The following is a 20,780-nucleotide window of genomic DNA, read 5'->3' on the forward strand; positions in this document are numbered from 1 at the left end:
GTGCAGAAGAGTAAAAAACCACGAAGCTGATGTTTTCTGCACACCTCGTCTGTGCCTTACTCTGTGTTGTGTCCCACAGTTAACACTAGCAGCAGCCTCTGAGACAGGCATTATGGTTACCTCCATCCTACAGATGAAGACATTGAGGCTTAGGGATGCAAACTGAATTGCCCAAAGTTACATGACCAGTAAGTGGTAGGCTAGTTCAAACCCTGATCTCTGGGACTCCAGTGACAAAAGAACCAGTAGTCTCAGGGGAAAGGCCAAGTGGGTTGTATTTACCACCATAAAACCAAAAAAAAGTCTGAAAGAGAGACCTAAGTTTTTCGTTTAGATAGTTTTTATCTCCACTTGGTCTCACCTTAGTAAATTTCACATGAATAGAACATGTGGGTGGAATTACGATCAAAAATTATGAAATAAGGCTGGGCGCGGTAGGCTCACGCCTGTAATCCCAGCACTTTGGGAGGCCTAGGCGAGTGGATCGCCTGAGATCAGGAGTTCGAGACCAACCTGGCCAACATGGTGAAACCCCGTCTCTACTGAAAATACAAAAATTAGCCAGGCATGACGGTGCATGCCTGTAATCCCAGCTACTCTGGAGGCTGAGACAGGAGAATCGCTTGAACCCAGGAGGCAGAGGTAGCAGTGAATCTAGATCACACCACTGTACTCCAGCCTGGGCAACAGAGTGAGACTCCATCTCAAAAAAAAAGAAAAAAAAAAAAAAAAAATATATATATATATATATATATATATATATATATATATATGTAACAAAAAACATAAATCCAAGGCAGAACTCAGGCCAAAATACCACCAAAGACAGCCAACCCTTTGGAGGATGAGCGTATACAATTTAGTCTGAAAGGTGCATGGGAAAAAAGCCACAGAAGGTGGGCCAGATGGATATCTTCTGGTGATAATGTCAGAGCCACAGGTTGAACCAGAAGCCCAAGCCTGGGAGAATGAAGTATGTCTACAGAATGACTAGGTCTCAGTAAGGAGGGCCAAAACTGGCCTAGCCGACTCCAAGGGCTCTGACTGAGGTGTCAGAGGTACAGACAGGTGAGGCTGCCCTTATGATGGGAATGTTGGATCCTGCCCACAAAACTGGGAGCTCCCTTGTTCCCAAAGCAGGAGAATCACATTCCACATACTTGCAATTGTTGACTACTGGTCAGAATCGTTGAAAACAAAAAGTGTATTGTTTGAAACCAAAAATAGATTTGATGCACCTGCTAGCAAAATACTAAATTTTTGTAGCTGCCAGATGTAAAGCACAGAATCAGCAATGAAGAATGCAAAGGGGAGCATACTGTGTCTCTATAATTGAGCATGATGACAATAATTGGCCAGACATTTCACATTTCACCTAACCACTTGCTGCACAATTTATCCATGGGTGAAATAAATGGAAGTGGGTCTTTTTGTTTTATTTTATTTTTTAAGTAACACAGTCTTGCTTTGTTGCCCAGGCTGGAGGGCAGTGGCATGATCATAGCTCACTGTAACCTCAAACTTCTGGGCTCAAGCGACCCTCCCACCTCAGTCCCCCAAGCAGCTAGGACTACAGGTGTGCACCACTGTATCTGGCCAAGTTTGTGTGTGTGTGTATTTTTTTTTATAGATAGAGTCTGGCTATGTTGCCCAGGCTGGTCTCAAACTCCTGGGCTCAAGTGATCCTCCCACAGTGCTGGGATTATAGGCATGAGCCACTGCGTCCAGCCCAGAAATGGGTATTTTAAACGTATTACGAAAAACAAATTGTTATGGGTGGAGATGTGTCCCCTGCAAATTCATATGTTGAAATCTTAACCTCTAGCACCCCAGAATGTGACTGTATTTGGACATATGGCCTTTAAAGAAGTAAAGTAAAATGAGATAATTACTTTAGGCCCTAATCCAATTTGACTGGCCCTACTAGGAAATGGAAATCAGGACACAGACATGAGCACATACAGAGAAAAGACTGTGCCAGGAGCAAGCTGCCATCTGCAAGCCAAGGAGAGAGCTCTCAGAAAAAAACGATCTTGCCGACACCTTCCTTTTGCACTTCCAGCCTCCAGGACTGTAAGAAAAGAAATTTCTGTTGTTTAAGCCACCAAGTAGTATTTCGTTATAGCAGTCCAAGCAAACTAATGCACATATCAAAACTACTTTAGTTTTTCCACTTTGTTGCAAACAATTGCAAGGTGTCCAGGTTTTCTGTCTTCCCCCAGCCTGCAAGTGCTCAGAGGACACCCAACCCTATGATCTCAGCCAACTCATGAAGTTTGATTTCACAACTTAGTGATGTCTTCCCAGTGGAATCCTAAATGATAAGGAAAATGGTATAGAGCCAAGACTTGAACATTAACAACCCAGGAGCACAGAAACAGCACAGTTAGCTGAGAGGCGTTATGGAGAGAAGCAACTGAATGCACACTGAGCGCTGTGAGAAGTCCACGACAGTGGGGAACAGCGCCCACCGTCACAAAAAGAAAGACCCTCGGCAGGTACTTTAGAGTCACGTTCATGCTGTAATATGTGGGGAAGAAAGACTATTCCAAATGGATCTGGCTCTTTAAAACAAGGGAATTTTCCTTGCTCTTGGGAACCAGCAAAATCCAGCTGCTCATTGAACTGCCTGTCTGGAATCTCACAAATTTGCACCTTGAAGTTGTTAATAAAGGACTAAGTTGATAATTCAAACAAACCCTGTGGTTTGGAAGTCACTGTTTTTCTGCTTAGCGTTCGACTTTCAAGCTCTTCTTTTGGAATAGCTCTTCAGGGCATTCTATGGATGTGTAATAAACCGACAAATTCCTTGTGAGAAGTTTTAGAAACTGTCAGGTGAAATGAGCCAGGTGCGAGGGCCCAGATGGCTCAAAGCTGAAGCAATGAGGGCTCTTTTCACTGTAGCTTCTAAATGGGCTCCCAGGGTACACCCCCACACACCAAAAATTTTCAGCCATGTTTTGGTAGAAGAGTGTGTCATCCTGAGGGTGGTACCACGAGGGACCACATCATTTGCATATTTATGTCACAGCAGGCCTGATCCACACAAACTCCTGTCGCTTACCGAGTTGTGCACCTTTACCTCCATGTGCTCACTGGGCAGCTGGAAGACACACAGTGAACCTCTTGTGCTCTCAGCCTTGGTTTGCTGACCTCCATGCCTTTGCACATGCTGACCCCCGCTCCACACACCCGGACCACCACTGCACATCCAAACCCACCTGCCTCTCAGGGCCTTGTCCAAATGCTGCCTCCTTCATGAGCACCCATAGTGAGTCCAAGGCAAGTCCCTGTCCCTCCCTAAACTCCAGGTCACGTCACCCCAAGTCATCTTCATCAATTTCCCTTCCTTTTTTATATCCCCATTGCTTAGATCTTGCTTTTATGGCATGGCTGTAAGTGGTTTCCACTGGGATGCCTTTCTAGTTCACCTCTGTGTCCTCATCAATTCGGCGCTGAATTATATACCTGTGATTTTTTTTCACTTCCTTTCAATGTCATTACTTTCTAATTGCAAAGCAGAAACATTCCTAGTAGTATATTCCAAAGCACACTGTCATTTGGTGTTCTTTATAATGTACAGTGACTATCACGTTTGCCCTTCCAAGCCCTAAAATCTTTCCACTCATCTCTTCTGCTTATATGCCTTGATGCAAGAGGGGTTAAAGTTTCATGCATAAAATGTCTGCACTAGAGGGCACACTAGAGCATGTCCATGCATAAATGTGAACACATATAAATGTGTGCATGGGATGAGGCAAGAAGACGGGGATAGTAGAGAGAACAGAGGCTGGCTGAATCTCCTCAGGAGATGATCTGGAGGAGCTGCATTTAATCCAAACATAAAGCCTTGGTCTAGGAAGTGATCTTCTTCAAAGGCTCTTAGTCTCGTGCATGAACATGAAGCAGCAGAACCTGTGACTTCCAAACCACAGGGCCGTTTAAATTATCTCCTGTTCCTTTATTAACAATGTCAGCATGCAAATTTGTGAGATTTCAGGACATACAATTCAGGGAGTAGTGGAATTTGTGGGTACCAAATAGCAAGAAGTTTCCTTGTTTTAAAAGAACCAGATCAACTGGAATATTCTTTATTAATTATATATTACCTAATACTATCTGGGAGTGCAGCTATTGACCAGCGATGGCAAGCTGTCCATCACGGGCAGTGAAAGGGCCTGGCTGGGCCGCCTGTTTCTCCATGGCTGCCAGAGACATTGGCCCTGGTCACTTACACGATCTCCACGTGTATAGCCCAGCAGAGGAGCTGGCCACACTGCAGTGGCTGCAGGAGCATGCAGGTGTCTCCATTTGTTATTGGTGGCTACTTAGCCAACATATACTTGGGGGAAGGAGGGGGAGTCCCCCAGAGGTGCTTCACCAATTCCGTAATAACAGTTCTGCTCTGTAACACTCTTAATGCTTGGGCGAGAGAAACTGCTGCCACCCCATGCCCACCTTCACACGTGTCACGTTTTTCTGGCCCATCTGCACAGGCAGGGGCCCAGGTGTTGCCATCTGTTCTGAATTCTCAAAATGTCAGTGTAATATGGGCAGCCTAGAGTTTCACAATTCAGCCAGTTATTCACCCTGCCACGTCTGTCTTGATTGTGGCTCTCATGTGTCCATTCTGCTGCTGCCTCCCACAAGCCAGGTCCTTTCCTTCCAGGCCACACCAAGATCCATGCTGAAAGTGACTTCTAGGAGGGCTACAAATCTCCAGTGTTTCTTCACTTCAATTCTTCCCACCAAGTCATTATTCTAAAGCTGCACATTGATCATTCCATACTTTGCTCAAAAACTCTAAGCAGCACACACACACATGTGCACAGACACACAGACACACACACACACACACACACACACACACACACGCCCCTGCAGGTGGAAGACCCAACCCAACACTGTGATCTGACAGTTGGGACTCTACACACATGTCCCCAGCCTCCTGCTCCACCGCAGCTTGCCTGAGCCAGTGAGCCCAGATGTGCCACAGGCACCTGCACTCCGCCTCTGACCATGCCACTCCTCCATTTGTAATTATTTTCCCATTTTAAAAATTTCAATCCAATGTCACTTATCTTCTGCCTATAGTAATTTATTGCTTCTAATCTTCTACAATATTCATATGTTTTGTCCTCAAAACATTTGTGTTTTTTGGAAGCCTGGTCCCATGAAATTCTCTAAGAAAAAAACAGAAAGTTCCACCATCATCTACATTTAACATATACCACAAATGTTATGCTGTTTCACATATTTTCAAAACACATATTTGGATATTTAAAATGCACGACCAAAGGCTCTGAGAAGTCTTGCAGATTTTTAGAAAAAGATGTTTCTCTTGGGTCAACCTGGCTTTTCCCATGCTATATTTATTTGACTGTACACCCTTTGGGGACACAGTATTTATAATGGTCTCCTCCACTCACTGGCACCCCCTGACCTCCAGTGCTCCCTTTACAGGCATCACCACATTACAAACAACTGACCCACAGGTCACCTGAACATAAAAACAGTACAGAGGAAGTGATAGCAAACTTTCTGCTCCTTATGGGGCAACTGCAGCTGGATGTGCTGGGTATTTCATCTCTGAAGCCATCATGTTGGTTGAGCTCCCAGATTCTGTAAGCTCTGACCTCAGTGAGCTCACCTTGGCTGGAGCCTGATCTGTACAATCCAGGACTTGTTTGGGAGCTGTGGGTTTAGGAGAGTTTGGGTGGGAACATGGGTGGGATGGGCATCATGGCCCCCTGGTGCTTTCTTTACAACTAGACAGTAAGTTTCTCCCAGGTAGGGTGCTTCTTTGCATTATTGGCCTGAGCCTAAGGTCCTCACAGTGATAGAAATGCACCTCTGATTATTCTCTCTGAGTCCCTGAATGCTGAGACCAGGCTGATACCCAGTACAGGGAGGACCCTAAGGTTGCAGGATATGAGTGGTGAGAGAAGAACCCTGGAGAAACTCAGTTTCTCAATCCCAAGAGATCCCAGGGATGGGTGGATAAATTGGAAAGGCTGCCCAACAGCCCCACTCCACAGAGCATGCCTTAAATTAAGACAGAGTGTTCTCCTGCAACTAGTCCTTCATGGCCCCTGACCTCTTAGTTCTGGGAACCAAGTGGAATAAGTGTCATCAGTCTGGTGGAGCAGGCAGGCCTCCTGCTGGCAGCCTGCCCTCTCTGTGGACCCTTCCAGGACAGAGAACACAGCCCAAGCACAGCAAGCCATGGGGCTGGAGGCTCCATGGTATCAGAATCTCATCACATATTCTATCCTTGACCCTTCATTTCTTTAAGTTGCTTTGAAGCCACATTTCATATATCAGGACCTGCTGTTTACATAAAGCAGTGGTGGAGAGTCCCATTCATCAAAGGCAACTGCATGTCATTTGGCGCTGGCCCTGCCTTGTGGCAGAGGCCCCCTAGAGACCTATGCTAGGTGACTAGAAGCATCTTCTGGGCTCAGCAGGAAAGGGGCTAAGGCCCACCAATACCCAGACCTGCATGTCCAGAGACAGTGTCAAATTTGACCTGAAATATTAAGAGTTTAATGCCTTCTTGTTTTACAGTTTTAAAGGGGCAATTTCTGACATTCTTGTTTTTAATAAAAAGGAAGAGAAAAGCACAGAGTTTTAAATTATGTAATTACAAAGCGGTGCAAAATGAACATGTGCGGCCTTTGTTCAAAAGCCATTAAGAATTTTAAGATGGTAACAGCAGGGCATTAAACCAAGCCAGGCCCTTCTGCGCAGGGGAGGCCCTAAGCGACTGCACAGCGCGCACACCTGTGAGGCCGGCCGAGCAGATATCAACATCGGCCACGGGTCCGACAGGGAGAGTGCCAGGGACTTCATGGTCTCACTGTAAGGCCTGCAAGGTGGCAAGACAGAAGTACAGCATCCTGGAAAGACTTCCTTGAAAAGAGGCTCTCAGCCCAGCCCTCGGTGCCCTCCCAGATTCCCACGCTCTTGGGGTTTGGGCCGACTTGGCAGCCTCTAATCGTTTGATTTGACTCAAGCGCCACACTTGGTGGGTTCAGTCTCCTTCTTGTAGGTTGTGTCCATTCCTACTCTTGAGATTATTTTCATCAATCTGTTTTGTTTTTGGCCCCAATCAGGCCTATTTTTTATTTGGGTTGCTTGTCTACATTTCACACTCAAGGTCAAACTTTCTCAATATGCAGATACTAAAACGTGATTCTCCGGGGGCCCTGCCTGGCCTGGCCTGGCCTGTGCTCAGCCCTGGTTGTCTGTCTTTCCCTGAGCTGACCACACCCTGGATCCATTTATGCCGAGGCTCTCTGAAGCTCACCTCCTGAAATCTCTCGGCTGCTCCGGCCCCAGTGGCCCTCCACTGCGTTCACTGTCCGCTGGTTCCCGTTATCAGGTCCTGACTCCTTCCTGTTTCTGGCCCATATTCTCTAAAAGCTCTGAGCTCCATTCCTCTGCCTCTTTGCCCTGAAGTCACATGGGAGACGGAAAGACACAGACGTTGTGTCAAAGCTCTACCCAATCCCACATTCCAACTGGAAACTGCCCATTTGACACCTCCCCAACACATAAAACTTATCAACTTAAATATCATAATTTCAGCAGGAAAAAAGTGAATGACTTAATAAATAGTCTGGGAAAATTTGCTACACATTTAGGGTAAAATGAAACTCCCTTACTTCAAATTATAAACAAAAATAAGTTCTACTTGACTTGACATTTTAAACCAAAAATAAAATTACTAAGTATCAGAAGAAAAAAATCTGAGGATATTTTTCGAATCTAGGGGTAGGAACAGACTTTCTAAGCAAGACAAAACCTGGGTGTTAAAAGGAAAATAATAACTACTTAAAAGTTAAATAGTTCCATAATATAAACGACACAGTAAAGAAAGTTAAGACAGGTTGAGAGAAAGTATTTGCAGCATATATATCAAAGTCTTAAAATCCAGGATATTAGAAAAGTTCCCCCAGAACAACAATAAAAAAAAGGAAGAAAAGGAGAAGGAAGAAAGGAACGAAGGGAGGGAGGGAGGGGAAAGGGAAGAGACAGAGGGAATAAAGGAGGGAGGGAGGGGAAAAGAGGGCAAAAAATATAAGGAGGCAATTTATAAAAGAGCAATAGGTCTTCTTAAACCAATCTTCCCCAGAGCAAATATATATAAAATCAGTATTTCTGGAGGCTGAGCTTAATCCTTTACTTTTTTTCAGTGCTTAGCTACAATTTTATTGGATTTTTACCATAAAACTAACTCTTCAGCAAAGAGGGCACATTTTAAATAGACCTTCTAAATGCAGAGTTCTTCTGAGTTATGAATGACTGCAAGGTAGCATGACTACAAAAATTGTTCTAAACAACATTATTCTAAATTATTCTGCATGATTATTATATTATTCTAACAACTATATTATTCCAAATTTTAAAGGAGATTAATTATGGGAGAGATGGTTTACGCAATTACCAAATACACAGAGAGGACAGGATTGGGAGGAAATATGCCTGATTGGGAACAGTGGGTAACTCTAGTGGTAGGAATGTCGGTGGTGAGTTTTATTTTCTTCCTTGTCTTTTCTTCTAAACCCCTGCACCTGGCATCAAGACAGGCAGTGCCACCTGGGCACCAGCAGAGCCCTCCTCTGTCCTGGGGCAGCCGACCCTCAGGGGCACCTCTGCTCCCAGGGTGTCTTTCACCTGGGGCTTTTATATTTTCTTCAGATATTGCCTTAAAGAAACATGCTATTCATATCCTACAGACATTTTTTTTACATGGTTTTTGCGTTGCTTCAAATAATGTCCTCAATTTTACAATAAGAGGATTATTTAAAATTTTAAAAGCTGACACTCGTAGCAAACTACTGTGACCTGTGGTGCCTGCATCCCCTGCCCGGCCACTAGGTTGTCCCGGTTAGAGTCCAAATGCCCCCCAGCTGCCTGCTCACATTTCTGAGGTGGGCAGGGATCCATGGGCCGCTCTTTGGCCCACTCCCGTGCACGTGGGATGTCCACAGCTGGGACACCTGTGCGTGGGCACCCGCCCTGCAGGTCGCCTCCAGATCTGAGTCCTCACTCCTCCGCCTCTTGACTTTGAAGTCAAGGTTTCACTCTCTTGACGAATACTCACTGCTTAAGGCTACCCTTGCTACTAAAATAACTTTCCATGAAATACTCTGAAAGAAGCTTCTTGACTGTAAATGCCATTATATTATCAGAAATGCCATGTTTGTGTGCGGTTATGTCTTGTGTAACTGACTCCACCGGATTTTCGAGGTGAAGATTGCTCGTTTTTGTCATTTCCAAAACCCAACATTCTTTCACTATAATGTGGCAACTTCTCAGTTCTTTAAACTATTTTTTTCTTTAAGTTCTTATGAATTGATGGTTCCTGTTTTTCTGAACTGTGTGTTGAACCCGTGCTTCTGCTAGGTTCAGAGTCACCTTTGTTCAATAACTAGCAAATGAGGCAAAAAGGTCTCACATAAAATGTGACTTTGTGGCCACTTGGGAGCCTCCATCTCCTCTCTTTGTAAATTTTAATTTGAAGAGACGAGTGTGAACCTCAAAGGAGGGAAAGGGAGCGGGAAAATGGCAATGTGGGTGAAAGTTCCATGTTCGGGCGAGGTTCTCTGTGTGAGGTGAGACTGTACTGTCCTGCTCACATGGGAACCATGGCTCGGCCGCCAACCTCGCATGGAGTACAGGGACCCACACAGAGACACACTCTGTAGCCCACCAGAGCACGGATCCCATCCCATATAAAGATGAAATGAGTCTTTTTGTTTTTTTCTTTTTAGCACATGTAAAGACCAAATTTTTCTTTTGAACCTCGATTTTCTTTTGAACCTTGATTTAACTTTTAGGAAAAGTGAAAACAAAAGGAGAATATTGTATTCACCCAAATAAAAAATGATTTCCTGCGTCCAGGTTGACTGCTCATCCATTAGCAGCAGATGTCTCTCGAGTAGCTGAACCACACCAAGCTGGACCTGGGACTTGAGGAGCCCCCTTCAACCTCTGCCAGGACGCACGCTGGATTAGCATCTGCTAGGGCTGCCGTAAGAAAGTACCAAAAAATAAGTGGCTTAAACAATAAAATATTGTCTCACAGTTCTGAAGGCTGGAAGTCTGAGATCACAGTGCCCACTGGGCCAGGCTACCTCCAAAGGGAAGGCTATGTTCCAGCCTCTCTCTCGGCTTCTGGTGGTGTAGCTGTTTAAGTCCAGTCTTCACATGGTGCACTCCCTGAGTGTGTGTCTGTCTTGAAATTTCCCCTTCTTATAAGGACACCAGTGATATGGGATCAGGGGCCCACCCGACTCCAGCATGACCTCATTTGAACTAATTACATCGGCAATGGCACTATTTCCAAATAAGGTCACGTCTGAGCTGCCAGGGGCAAGGACGTCCACATGTGAATTTTGGGAGACACAAGTCAACCCATCACACACAGAGGCCCTAAAGGATGAATCACACACGTCTGGACTCCTACTCACTTTCTTAGTCGTGTCTTCTACCAGTCCTCTTTCCCCAAACTCATTCCCCTGAAAGCAAGTTGCCTTCCCACTAAGAACAGACCATTTGCTTTCTTTCCCTTCAGTGTCAGTGTCTATGCTAAGGAGAAGGTTGTTTAAAAAGCAGCTCAAAATCCACCAGACTCCTCAGGAAGTGCCTCTCAGGGAGGCCTCTAGACGGGGCTGCTGTGCCTCAGTAGCCTCAGTAAAGACCTCCCTCCAGCTGCCCTGTGTCTCCTGACTCCCGGGCTTTGTGATTCTAACCTCATGGGTGATCTGAGGGTAAACCCCAGGAAGTCCTGTAGGTCCCAGGGCTGTTCCTGTGAGGACAGCTGTCCCCTGCACGCGCGTGGGGTGCCGTGTGCTCCTGAGGAGCCGGCTGGGGCAGGCAGGGCCCAGTGACACCTGGGCTGGAACTGTGGCTCCCCCACTTGTTTGCTGGCTCTGCTTCCTCTTTAAGAAACGAGGATGATCATGTAGGGTTCCTAAGGGGGTTAAAGTGTGTGAACTCCTTAGAGGCGCACGTAGCCCAGAGGAGAAACATAAGTCAGCCTCAGCTCCTCACGGTGCCTTCGGCCACAGACAGCATTTGCCTTCACCAGGCTTCTTTTTAAAACAATTCTTGACTTGGAAAGGGTCCTTGGGAAAAATTAAAATTTTTAAAATAAATAAATAAAATCTGAGGTTAATTCTTTTGAAGATCCAATCTCCATTTCCTCATCCATCTGTTTTGTAAATACAATCTGGTGTCCAGGCGACTCTGAGGGACTGGGACCCTCCTGAATCACACAGCGTCCAAGTCACTCACTGCTCTCATTTCTGGCTATCAGATTGTTCCCCGGGGGAATGGAGTCTCCGCCCCTGGGAGCTCAGTTCGAAACCACGGCTGACCGTGAGGATGGCGACTCCCCACTCGGACCCCCTGAGGATGGCGACTTCCCGCTGGGGCCCCCTGAGACTTTGCTGGGGCTGGAAGACCACACACAGTGCATTCCCTGAAGGCCAGGGCCTACCCATCCACCCATCCATCCACACTTCCCCTGGGGTTGCCTGGATAAGCTCAGGGCCCCACCCACCCAACAGGGGAGGAGGGGAGACCCAGCCAGCCCTCCTGGAGCCCTGACATTTACAGCTGCAAAGGTAGGCAGCTGCGCTCAAACACACAAGCCAGGCCTCTCAACACAAGAAGGGGTTTAACATTAAAGAATACATTATGAGGCTGAGGCAGGCAGATTGCTTGTGTCCAGGAGATTGAGACCAGCCTGGGCAACACAGCAAAACCCTGTCCCTACAAAAAATAGAAAAATTAGCCAGGTCTGGTGATGCATGCTTGTAGTCCCAGCAACTCAGAAGGCTGAGATGGGAGGATCAACTGAGCCTGGGGAGGTCGAGGCTGCAGTGAACCGTGATGGTGTCACTGCACTCCAGCCTGGGCAACAGAGTGAGACCCTGTCTCAAACAAAACAAAACAAAAAAAAACCCATTTTGATAGATTTTGTGGAAAATAAGGAAGAAAAGAAAAAGGCCCATTCTTTTTTGCTTATACTGTATTTGCAAAGGACATATAAGAAACTAAGAAAAGGGTTACGGAGGGAACTGGATGGGAGATGGGGATGGGTGTGTGTTTTTCACTGGATACCTTTTTATACAATTTCATTTTTGAATCCTATTCAGAAAAATTAAAGCTGGAAATTCTATTCCCTCATTTACCACGTTTACAGGGTGAAAGAGAAATTCTGTATCCTCATCCCAAGAGATGCTGAAAAGCATCCGTGGAAGGTTGGCACCACCTGTCATGAGCGCCTTTTTCCAGATGAGAGTTCCCCAGGACTCATCGCAGAGCTTCCGGCTGGACTCCCTGAGGCCATGGAGAATTGCCAGGGTAGGGGTTACAGAGAAAGATGCCCTCCCTTGGAAATAATTTGTTTGAAGGCTCCTAATCTGCATGTGGTCTTGGCAAATAGGATCCAGCAAACCTGGATGTGTGCAAGCCATTGGAGATTCGTGGTTTCTTGGATGAAGCTGGGAATTCCACCTCTGCCTCAAGCTGTGCACCCTCAAACTCTCAAAAGCCTCAGTTTACTCATCTGCAACATGAGTTAAGAGTGCCCAACCCCCATAGGATGGGAATGATCATGTTAAAAGACATACATTCTCCAATCTCTACTGCTTCCAGGAGGCCCTTCAGAATAACATTGATTCACTACACACAGTGTAAGCAGCATGGCTGATCTCTCGTAAGTCCTGCATGAGGTAGCAATTAGAACCTCAAACATGAGAATCAAAGAGTGCCACTTTTGCAGCAGTAGAAGACTAAGAAATTGTAATAATCCTTTGAATCAGTTTGCTCAGATTACTCCCAGATTACTCTGGGACTTTTCTGACATATGAAGAACAATTTCTATTTCAATAGGGTGTCCATTGCCTGCCACTAACTTTTCATTTTCACAGAGAATGGCTGAAATTAGAATGGAGAGATTCTGATAATTCTGGCAAGCAGAGGGCAGATGGGGGTGAGGATGTGCGGACAGGGGCTGTGTTACTCTAAACGGCAGGGAAGGACTTGGGGACAGCATTTGTTCCCCTCTCCAGTGACATTCCTGTTTTGTTCAAGTGCCCCTCTGATGAACCCAGTGGGTGAACACAGAGCAGGTGACACACACTTTGGACAGGTGAGACAGTCACGGGTGAGTCACCTCCTTACCAGGAACCTCTGGTGTGCAGTCACCTTTCCTGCGGCTGGGTGGCAGTCTGTACTCATTCTGTGCCTTACCTCTTCCCTCCCGAGCATGACTCTGAGCAGGCACTTCTGGGGACTTCAAAGAGACTGTCACATGCAGATGAGATGAGCCATGTGCCTTTCAGGCCCAGCTCAGCAGGGCCAGCTTGAAAGGCATATCTGAATTGAATCAAATGCATCCACCCCACAAACTGAGGATGTGATTATGTGTAAACAATGAAAATGACAATCATTGACAGCCCAGCGTTTAAATGCTCTGGATGTTGGAGGTAACTTACAGCCAGTATCTAATTCACAGCTGCCCCGAAGTTAGCTAACCTCGCCAAAAGCTCCCTGTGCTTGAGGATGGAGGAAAGAGAGAGCAGCAGAGAAGGATGGGTATCCATCAAGACAAGGCTGGCTGAGTGTCTAAATCATCCCCACATGCTCCATTTGTCTGTGGGATCACTATCACAGATTTGATCACATGATACATTTCATAACCCCCTTTACCCCCATCAGTGAAACTTGTGCAGCAAGGGGAGCTATTTGTGTTCAATGCAGTGCCCGAGAGCACTGGGATAGTGGCAACAGTGAAGACAATCGCTAGTGGATGTCACAGGTCTCTGCTCTTGGTCTTCACTGATCCAAGTGGTCTTCTGGTGAAGATGTAAAGGGGATACCACTCCAAGTTATAGATGACATGAAGCTTCATGTTTTATATTAGAGAATACATGGGCTAAATCTAAAAGACAACACCAGCGATAATGCAAAGTTCTACTTAGGTTAAAAAAAAAGTTTTTTTTTAAAAAGTCACCACCTCATATTCAGAATGATCCCAGCACTTTGAGAGGCAGAGGTGGGAGGATCACTGGAGGACAGGAGTTTGAGACCAGCCTGGACAACACAGTGAGACGCTCGTCTCTACCAAAAAAAAGATTTTAAAATTAGCCAGGCATGGTGCCACATGCCTGTAGTCCCAGCTCTTCAGGAGGCTGAGGTCAAGGGTCACTTGAGCTCAGAAGTTCAAGGCTGCAGTGAGCTATGATTGCTTCACTGTACTCCAGCCTGAGTGACAGAGTGAGATCTTGTCTCTAAAAGATATATATATATATACACACACACACACAGAATTAGAGAGATGTGGCTTTGCAGCACGTTCCCACACAGAGAGGCAGGGAGGTCAGCTGGCTGTCAGTGCAGTGCCCAGGTCCAACAGATAGGTATGGTTGCCAAAAACCAGACAAAGGAGGTCACTGTGCCCACCTGAAGTGGGACATTGGAAAGTTGCCAAGTAGATGCTGTGGAAGGCAGCACAAGATCAAGGGTAGCTGAACACCTCAGCACATAAAGAATCTTTCCAGGAATCATGAGAAGAAGGAAGAGCTTGAACAGAAGTGGTGAGGTCCGCCTGTAATCCCAGCACTTTGGGAGGCCGAGGCGGGCGGATCACGAGGTCAGGAGATCAAGACCATCCCGGCTAAAAAGGGTGAAATCCCGTCTCTACTAAAAATACAAAAAATTAGCCGGGCGTAGTGGCGGGCGCCTGTAGTCCCAGCTACTTGGGAGGCTGAGGCAGGAGAATGGCGTGAACCCGGGAGGCGGAGCTTGCATTGAGCCGAGATCCCGCCACTGCACTCCAGCCAGGGCGACAGAGCGAGACTCCGTCTCAAAAAAAAAAAAAAAAAAAAAAAAAAAAAGAAGAAGTGGTGAGGTCCATGCAGTCGGAAGGGCTTTGGTGTGGAAGGAGCTGGGGCTCATGCAATAATTCAGCAGTTTCTGGGACAGGATATGTGCTCAAGGTATATGAATGGGCATGTTGAGTTATGACCATCCTTCCCATCGTGGCTATGCTTATATGACTTCGGGGGCAAAGCTAGGTCCAAAATATGGATGTGCCAGAGAATAGGCTTTGGATAATTTATAGAACGTCTTCTCAGCTGGCGCTTTGCAGTGATGCGCTGGGCTGCCTCTTTGGGAGGGAAAGGGCTTATGGATTAGACAGCCCTCTGAGGGCTCACAGAGAGGGGCTTCTATGGTGGGAAGTGCCCTTCACACTGAGAATCGTGATTCCAAATGAAGGGTGTCTAAGTAATGATGATGACTCCATGTTGGATGGTTAAGCATCTGCCACTGTGGGTCACCTCGCCCATGTATCAGGGAGGATCAAAGAGGACCCTCGATCATGGCCACACAGCTAGCAAGAGGAAGGCAGGACTGGCCCAGGGATTCTGATTCCACATCAACAGAGTTTTTAACATCCCCAGAGTGTCCCTGATTCCCTCTTCATGACGCTGCACTAGCTGCCATATTCATACAGGGAAGCACACCAGCACCTGCATCTCCCCTACTAACAGCCCTCCTCACAACCGCACTGCTTCTCAGCTGCCCTGACTGGTCTCAATTAACATTCATTGAATAATGAGTAAATAACTAAACGGATGGACAATTGAACCTCTTCCCTTAGATGTCCAGCACTCTACACCTAATGCTGCCCCTGGGTGTCAGCAAATGAAACCTGGAGGCAGGATTGTGGTACTCCTCCAATGCCAGAGTTGGAGGAGAGAGATCATTGCTGGAATGGAGATCTGGGGCCCAGAGAACAGCTCCTACAGTCAGGAGTAAATGGCAAAAAGCCACTAATTCCAATCTAAATAGCTAATGCTATTGAATACCTACTATGTGCAGCACTTTCCTAAGAATTTTTCATGCAAGAACTCTTTGCATCCTCAGAACAACTCTCTGTGGTAATTGTTCCTCTATTTCTAGTTTACGGGTGAGGAAACTGAGGTCAGTAGGTGTTAAGTAACTTGCTATGCATGCATTAAGTAGCTGGTTGAGCTGAGGCTCAGCCCTGGCAGTGGCTTCATCATTGTGCCTTGTGAGCCCCTCCAAGGTCACATGGTCCAGCAAACTACAGCAAACTGGGGAGTAGCCAGGAGTAAAATCATGTGGGGAACTTGAGGGGTGACTTCAGGGGAGGAACAGCCCCATGTCTCAGTCTGTGATCCCACACACAGAAGGACATCATTTGTGCTCAAGGTAACTTGAGCAGGCAGGGCATGGGAGAGAAAAGAGGCTCAGGCCTGGGGCCCTGGGTCTGCTCATCTCCGCACAACTTGTATGTTTCTTGTCAATTGTGCCTGAACATACTGTAAAGCTTCTCCCTTAAAAAGCCAAAAGAGTAAAGTTTGAGGGATTTGTAGGACACTAACAAGAACCAAACCTGAGGCTTATTTATGCCAGTCTAACTATTAATAGTTCCTGGAATGGCTTTACACAAACAAGAATAAGGCTGTCTATCCCCACGCAGGAAAGTTCATGTGCAAATACCACAAGGCTGGACAGTCCGGCTGCATGTGCCCTGCACCTGAGGCCCCCAGCCCAAGGGAACCCTCAGGACAAACAGCAGAGAAGCTCTGGGTGCCAGGGCATCCTCCTCGACAGGCCCCCTACCCTGGCATGGGCACGTGAGGCCTGAGAGCCCACTGGAGGTGGAGACATTGAGGCTTCCACTAGTGGCCACTCATGGCAGAGGCCAGGGACCCCAACCTGACTAGCCACTGCTCGTAGCCCAGGGGCTGTGCACCTTGGAGGGGTCACCAGCCCCTCTGAAGACCTGCCGAGTGCCACCGCAGGGCTCAATTCAGGCCCTCCACCTCATCAGAGTGACGGCTCATCTTTCAAGGCTCCCAGATCAGGAGTCTGTGTTCCACATGTGTGCTGTCCAACCTGGTAGCCACATGCAGTTGTGGGCATTTAAATTAAAATTAACTGAAATTAGATAAAACTTTCAATCCAGTTCCTAGTCACAGTAGCCACATTTCAGTTGCTTAGGAGCCACATGTGACTTGTGGCCGCTGCTTTGACCAGCACAGATACAGAACTTTTCCATCCTTGCAGAAGGTTCTATCAGACAGTGCTGCACTAGAGAGTTTGGGAAGCCACCTTGTGACTTCCCCGGGTCCTCGGAGAGTTTTCTGTTTCTGCCTCCTCTGCTGTCGCTGCTGTCTCTTGGCCTTCAGACTGAGACAGGAGGCCCAGGCTGGGAGAGGCCCAGCAGCAGCTAGCAGCAAGCAGGACAAGGCCCACAGAGGGTGCCCTATCAATCAGACATTGCTGGGTGCATTTGCCGAGACTGGGAGCTCACACAGTGGCCATGAGAGCAGCGACACATTTCCAGCAGCGGAGCCTACAGTTAGAGGACAGATCACGAGAGGTGTGGGGTCCACCCCAACTGGAGCAGGCCCTGAGCAGCTCCCAGAGCCCCCCACACACTGAGACTGCAGGTGTCGAAGTTGCAATGGTAGCAGCCACTGCAGACAATGGATGCTCCCCCCCAGGTTTCCTGGCATCACCTAAGCCCAAGTTTGTTTGATGACATCTGGAGCATTATGACAAGAAAGGATCCCCAATAATGACAGAATTTGAATCTCCCAATAACCAGGCAGAGAGGGTGAGGTAGGGCAGGGCGATCTTGGAGCAGATTTAATATAATTTAGAGATTTCTAGAGTAAAGGTACGTCACATTTTGATACCTTGGCATTATAGACTGGAATTCATACCCGTTAAACAAATAATTGAGCCAGTATGGAGAATTATTACATGGGGAATAAGGAGGCTGAAATTAAAACAGGGACAGGACAGAGAATCCTGTTCTGAAAATCCTGCTTGTCATTTCCAAAGCTCGAGTGAGCATTGAGGATGTCGGGCTCATCAACAGTACATGAAACCAAGCCTGCCTGCCTTCCTCAGAGGCAAGAGTTAGGTCCACATTTCCTGGCACGCAGCTCTGGGTAATTCACAATTCCGAAGCTGCCCCTAGAGAGACCAGCCTATGTTGGCCAGGGCAAGTCCTTCTGTGATTGCTCTCTGCCCTCTTGGGGCCTACATGTCCACTGGGCATGCTGGGCACAGTGCATGGGGCCCATGATACTGTTAGGGGCCTGCACAAGTGTTTTAATTTTGATTTATTTTAAAATCAGAGGAAAACCACAAATAAACGAAAATGAATGTATAATAATGAATCAGCCTGAATGACATTTATCTTTCTGCCAGAGCAGTCACACTCTGCTTTTTCATAAGAAAGTGGTCTGCAAAGACCAAAGCACCTGGGGTCCCTGGGCATCACCATGAGGCCATGACCCTTGCCCCCTATACCAGAGACCTGAAAGGCAGCTCCACACAGAAGTGACCCTGACACCCTGAAAAATACTCCTACAGGTTGAATTTCAGCTGGAATATTTTTCCCACCTCCCTCTGCATCCGGCTCCAAAAATAGTCAAATCTCCAGGCAGGCAAAATAGCTGGTCACCCAAAGACCTGTGACCATCTGCCTGCTCTGCCATCCTTAGCACTGGTTTCTTTCCTCCACATTGTCTTATGGCTTCATGAAGGCTGTTGGAGCTCCAGCCATCACGTCTGCATTCCAGACAGGGGGAAGGAGAGAATTCAGGTGCAAAATGCTAAGCCTATTACATGTCAGTCTCCTTTAGAGAGCTTTTCTAGAATCCCTAGCTAACCCTTTCAGCCTATATCTTTCATTGGCCACCGTATCTGTAAAGGAGACTAGGAAATATCGTTTTTTAACTGGGCACACTGTTGTCCCTAACAACATGGACTTGTGGTTGACAACAGAGGAAGCAGAAGAGAATGCATACTGGAAGTCTCTACAACAGAGTGCTGAAGACAACCAGCTTGATATTGTATAGTACTCTCTCCTGTGAGTGGGCCTGGGGACAAATCATTTAACTTCTCTGTAACCAGGGTCTACTTGATGAAGTAACCTCATTGCCCACACCAGAAGCATCAGGAAGGGTACCAAGGAGATGGTAGCTTCAAGGACTTTGGACCACTTGGAGGAGGGTATTCAAAGGGACAGAAGTCACTTGCTTGATTCTTGTATTAAAATCAAGTGGGATTTCTTTTCATTCATGCATTTCACCAGTACTTATCACGTATCCAATAAAGCAACAAGGACAATCCAAACACTGTTCTGTTGCCTGAGGGCTGACTTGGGGCCAGGCACTGTTCCGGATCCTTTGCACATGTGGCCTCACTTAGTCCTCAGAACCATATGTGGCAGAGTCTACCATTATCATCCCCATCATTCAGATGTGGAATTGGGACAAAGAGGGGTTAAGGATGATGCCCGGGGTCACACTGTTAATACACAAAGGAGCCTAGCTTTGAACAAACAGCCTAGCTCTTAGACCCCAAGGAGGTGGTAGCGAATTGGCAGACAAGGTCTCACCTTTTTTTGTCTTTCTAGTGAAACACATATAAGCCCAATTATGTAAGGCCATCATAAATTTCCCCCAGGAGACTGGCACAGGGAGATGGGGGCTACTCTCACCTTCTGCAGCACACACCAAGAATCTCTGCTGTGCTTGGGTTCATGACTCACCCCTTCCCTCAAAGCCAGCTCTTCCTGAGTCAGGACCATGTCCTTTGAGTCCTGAGGTGCAGCAAGGAAACTGTCCAGACTTGGCTTCAAAAGCCAGGCTACTTTCCAGCAAAGAGCCAAATGGCTGGTTGCTTAGAATTTTTAGAACAGGTTCATCTCCAAGGACATGGAGTCTATTCACATAAATCAACCTGATCAAAGGCCAGAGAAGCTAAAACTGTCACATACCCATTATCTACTGGCATAATCAAGGCCAAAGGGATTCATAAGGAGGCGGTGGGTTTTGGAGGGAGAGTGCTTGCTGCTATTTCACCTTGGACCTGAGTCCCCTCTTGTGTGCCCCTTGCTCTGCATCATCTCAGGGCCTTGCCTCACTCCTCCATCTTCCTCCTCCAGCTCCTTTACAGATAGGGTGGCCAGTGAAAGACTAGGCTGAAAGGGTTAGCTGGGAATTCAAGGAAAGGCCTGCAGAGGAGTCTGACATCTAGGAGGCTTTGCCTTTTGCCCCCCACTTCCTTCCTCTCTTCTGTCTGGAATGCAGAAGTGATGGCAGGAGCTCCAGCAGCCTTCTTGAAGCATAAGATAACTTGGAGGAAGGAAGCCAGTGCTAAGGATGGCGGAGTAGGCAGATGGATGAACTGGCTGCCTGTTGACCCTTGTCCCAGAAAACCTGCTTCCTGTTTGAGGACGGAACAGAAAGAGCAATAGAATCCTTTTTCTGTGCAAGAGAAATTAAGCCTGACTCTTTTCGGAGCCCTTGCTATTTTATACATTTTCCCTTGTATCTAGCTGAATTGATAGAAACTTATCAATGTATTAATCAACACTCCGTAAGTGATTTGTCCAGTGAGAACAGCTAAAATAATACATTTTCTGTCATCATTAAAAATCCTGTGATTTTTAGTCCAATAAATGTTTTAAAGGGCAGGATGAAGAGAAGAGCTACAAGACCCTGTAACAGAAGCCCTCACTCGCAGGGTTATCACTCCTAAAACAAAAGATAAGCAGGAAAACCACAGTGGATAAGATCTGCTGTCAACCTTAGCTTTTCTGATTACACAAAGTGCAATAACATCTATTTTTTTTAATCCGAAGGAATCCTCTGACACCACCAAGCATCCTGCCCACTCCTCCTTCCTGAGCGCTCAACTTCCTTCTG

At 46.8% G+C, this 20,780-nt stretch overlaps 2 long non-coding RNA genes across 9 annotated transcripts in view, besides 1 other annotated feature; one reads left to right on the forward strand and one right to left on the reverse strand.

Moving 5' to 3' along the window:
• The window catches only part of MIR4435-2HG (MIR4435-2 host gene), a 299,296-nt gene that overhangs the window by 274,161 nt on the left and 4,355 nt on the right, over nt 1-20,780 (reverse strand). The window lies entirely within an intron of this gene.
• Nucleotides 765-2,698, forward strand: LOC124906065 (uncharacterized). Its single transcript, XR_007087188.1, has 2 exons — nt 765-2,073; nt 2,223-2,698. It is a non-coding gene; the product is annotated as an uncharacterized LOC124906065 (long non-coding RNA).
• Nucleotides 17,032-17,884: an enhancer, noted in NCBI's record as "H3K27ac-H3K4me1 hESC enhancer chr2:112244635-112245487 (GRCh37/hg19 assembly coordinates)". NCBI's record gives its function as "activates a minimal SCP1, AML or CMV promoter by ChIP-STARR-seq in naive H9 embryonic stem cells {active_cell/tissue: H9 hESC(naive)}" and the evidence as "EXISTENCE:reporter gene assay evidence [ECO:0000049][PMID:30033119]".

The sequence above is a fragment of the Homo sapiens genome, chromosome 2 (assembly GCF_000001405.40).
Source record: "Homo sapiens chromosome 2, GRCh38.p14 Primary Assembly".
NCBI classification, from domain to species: Eukaryota; Metazoa; Chordata; class Mammalia; order Primates; family Hominidae; genus Homo; species Homo sapiens.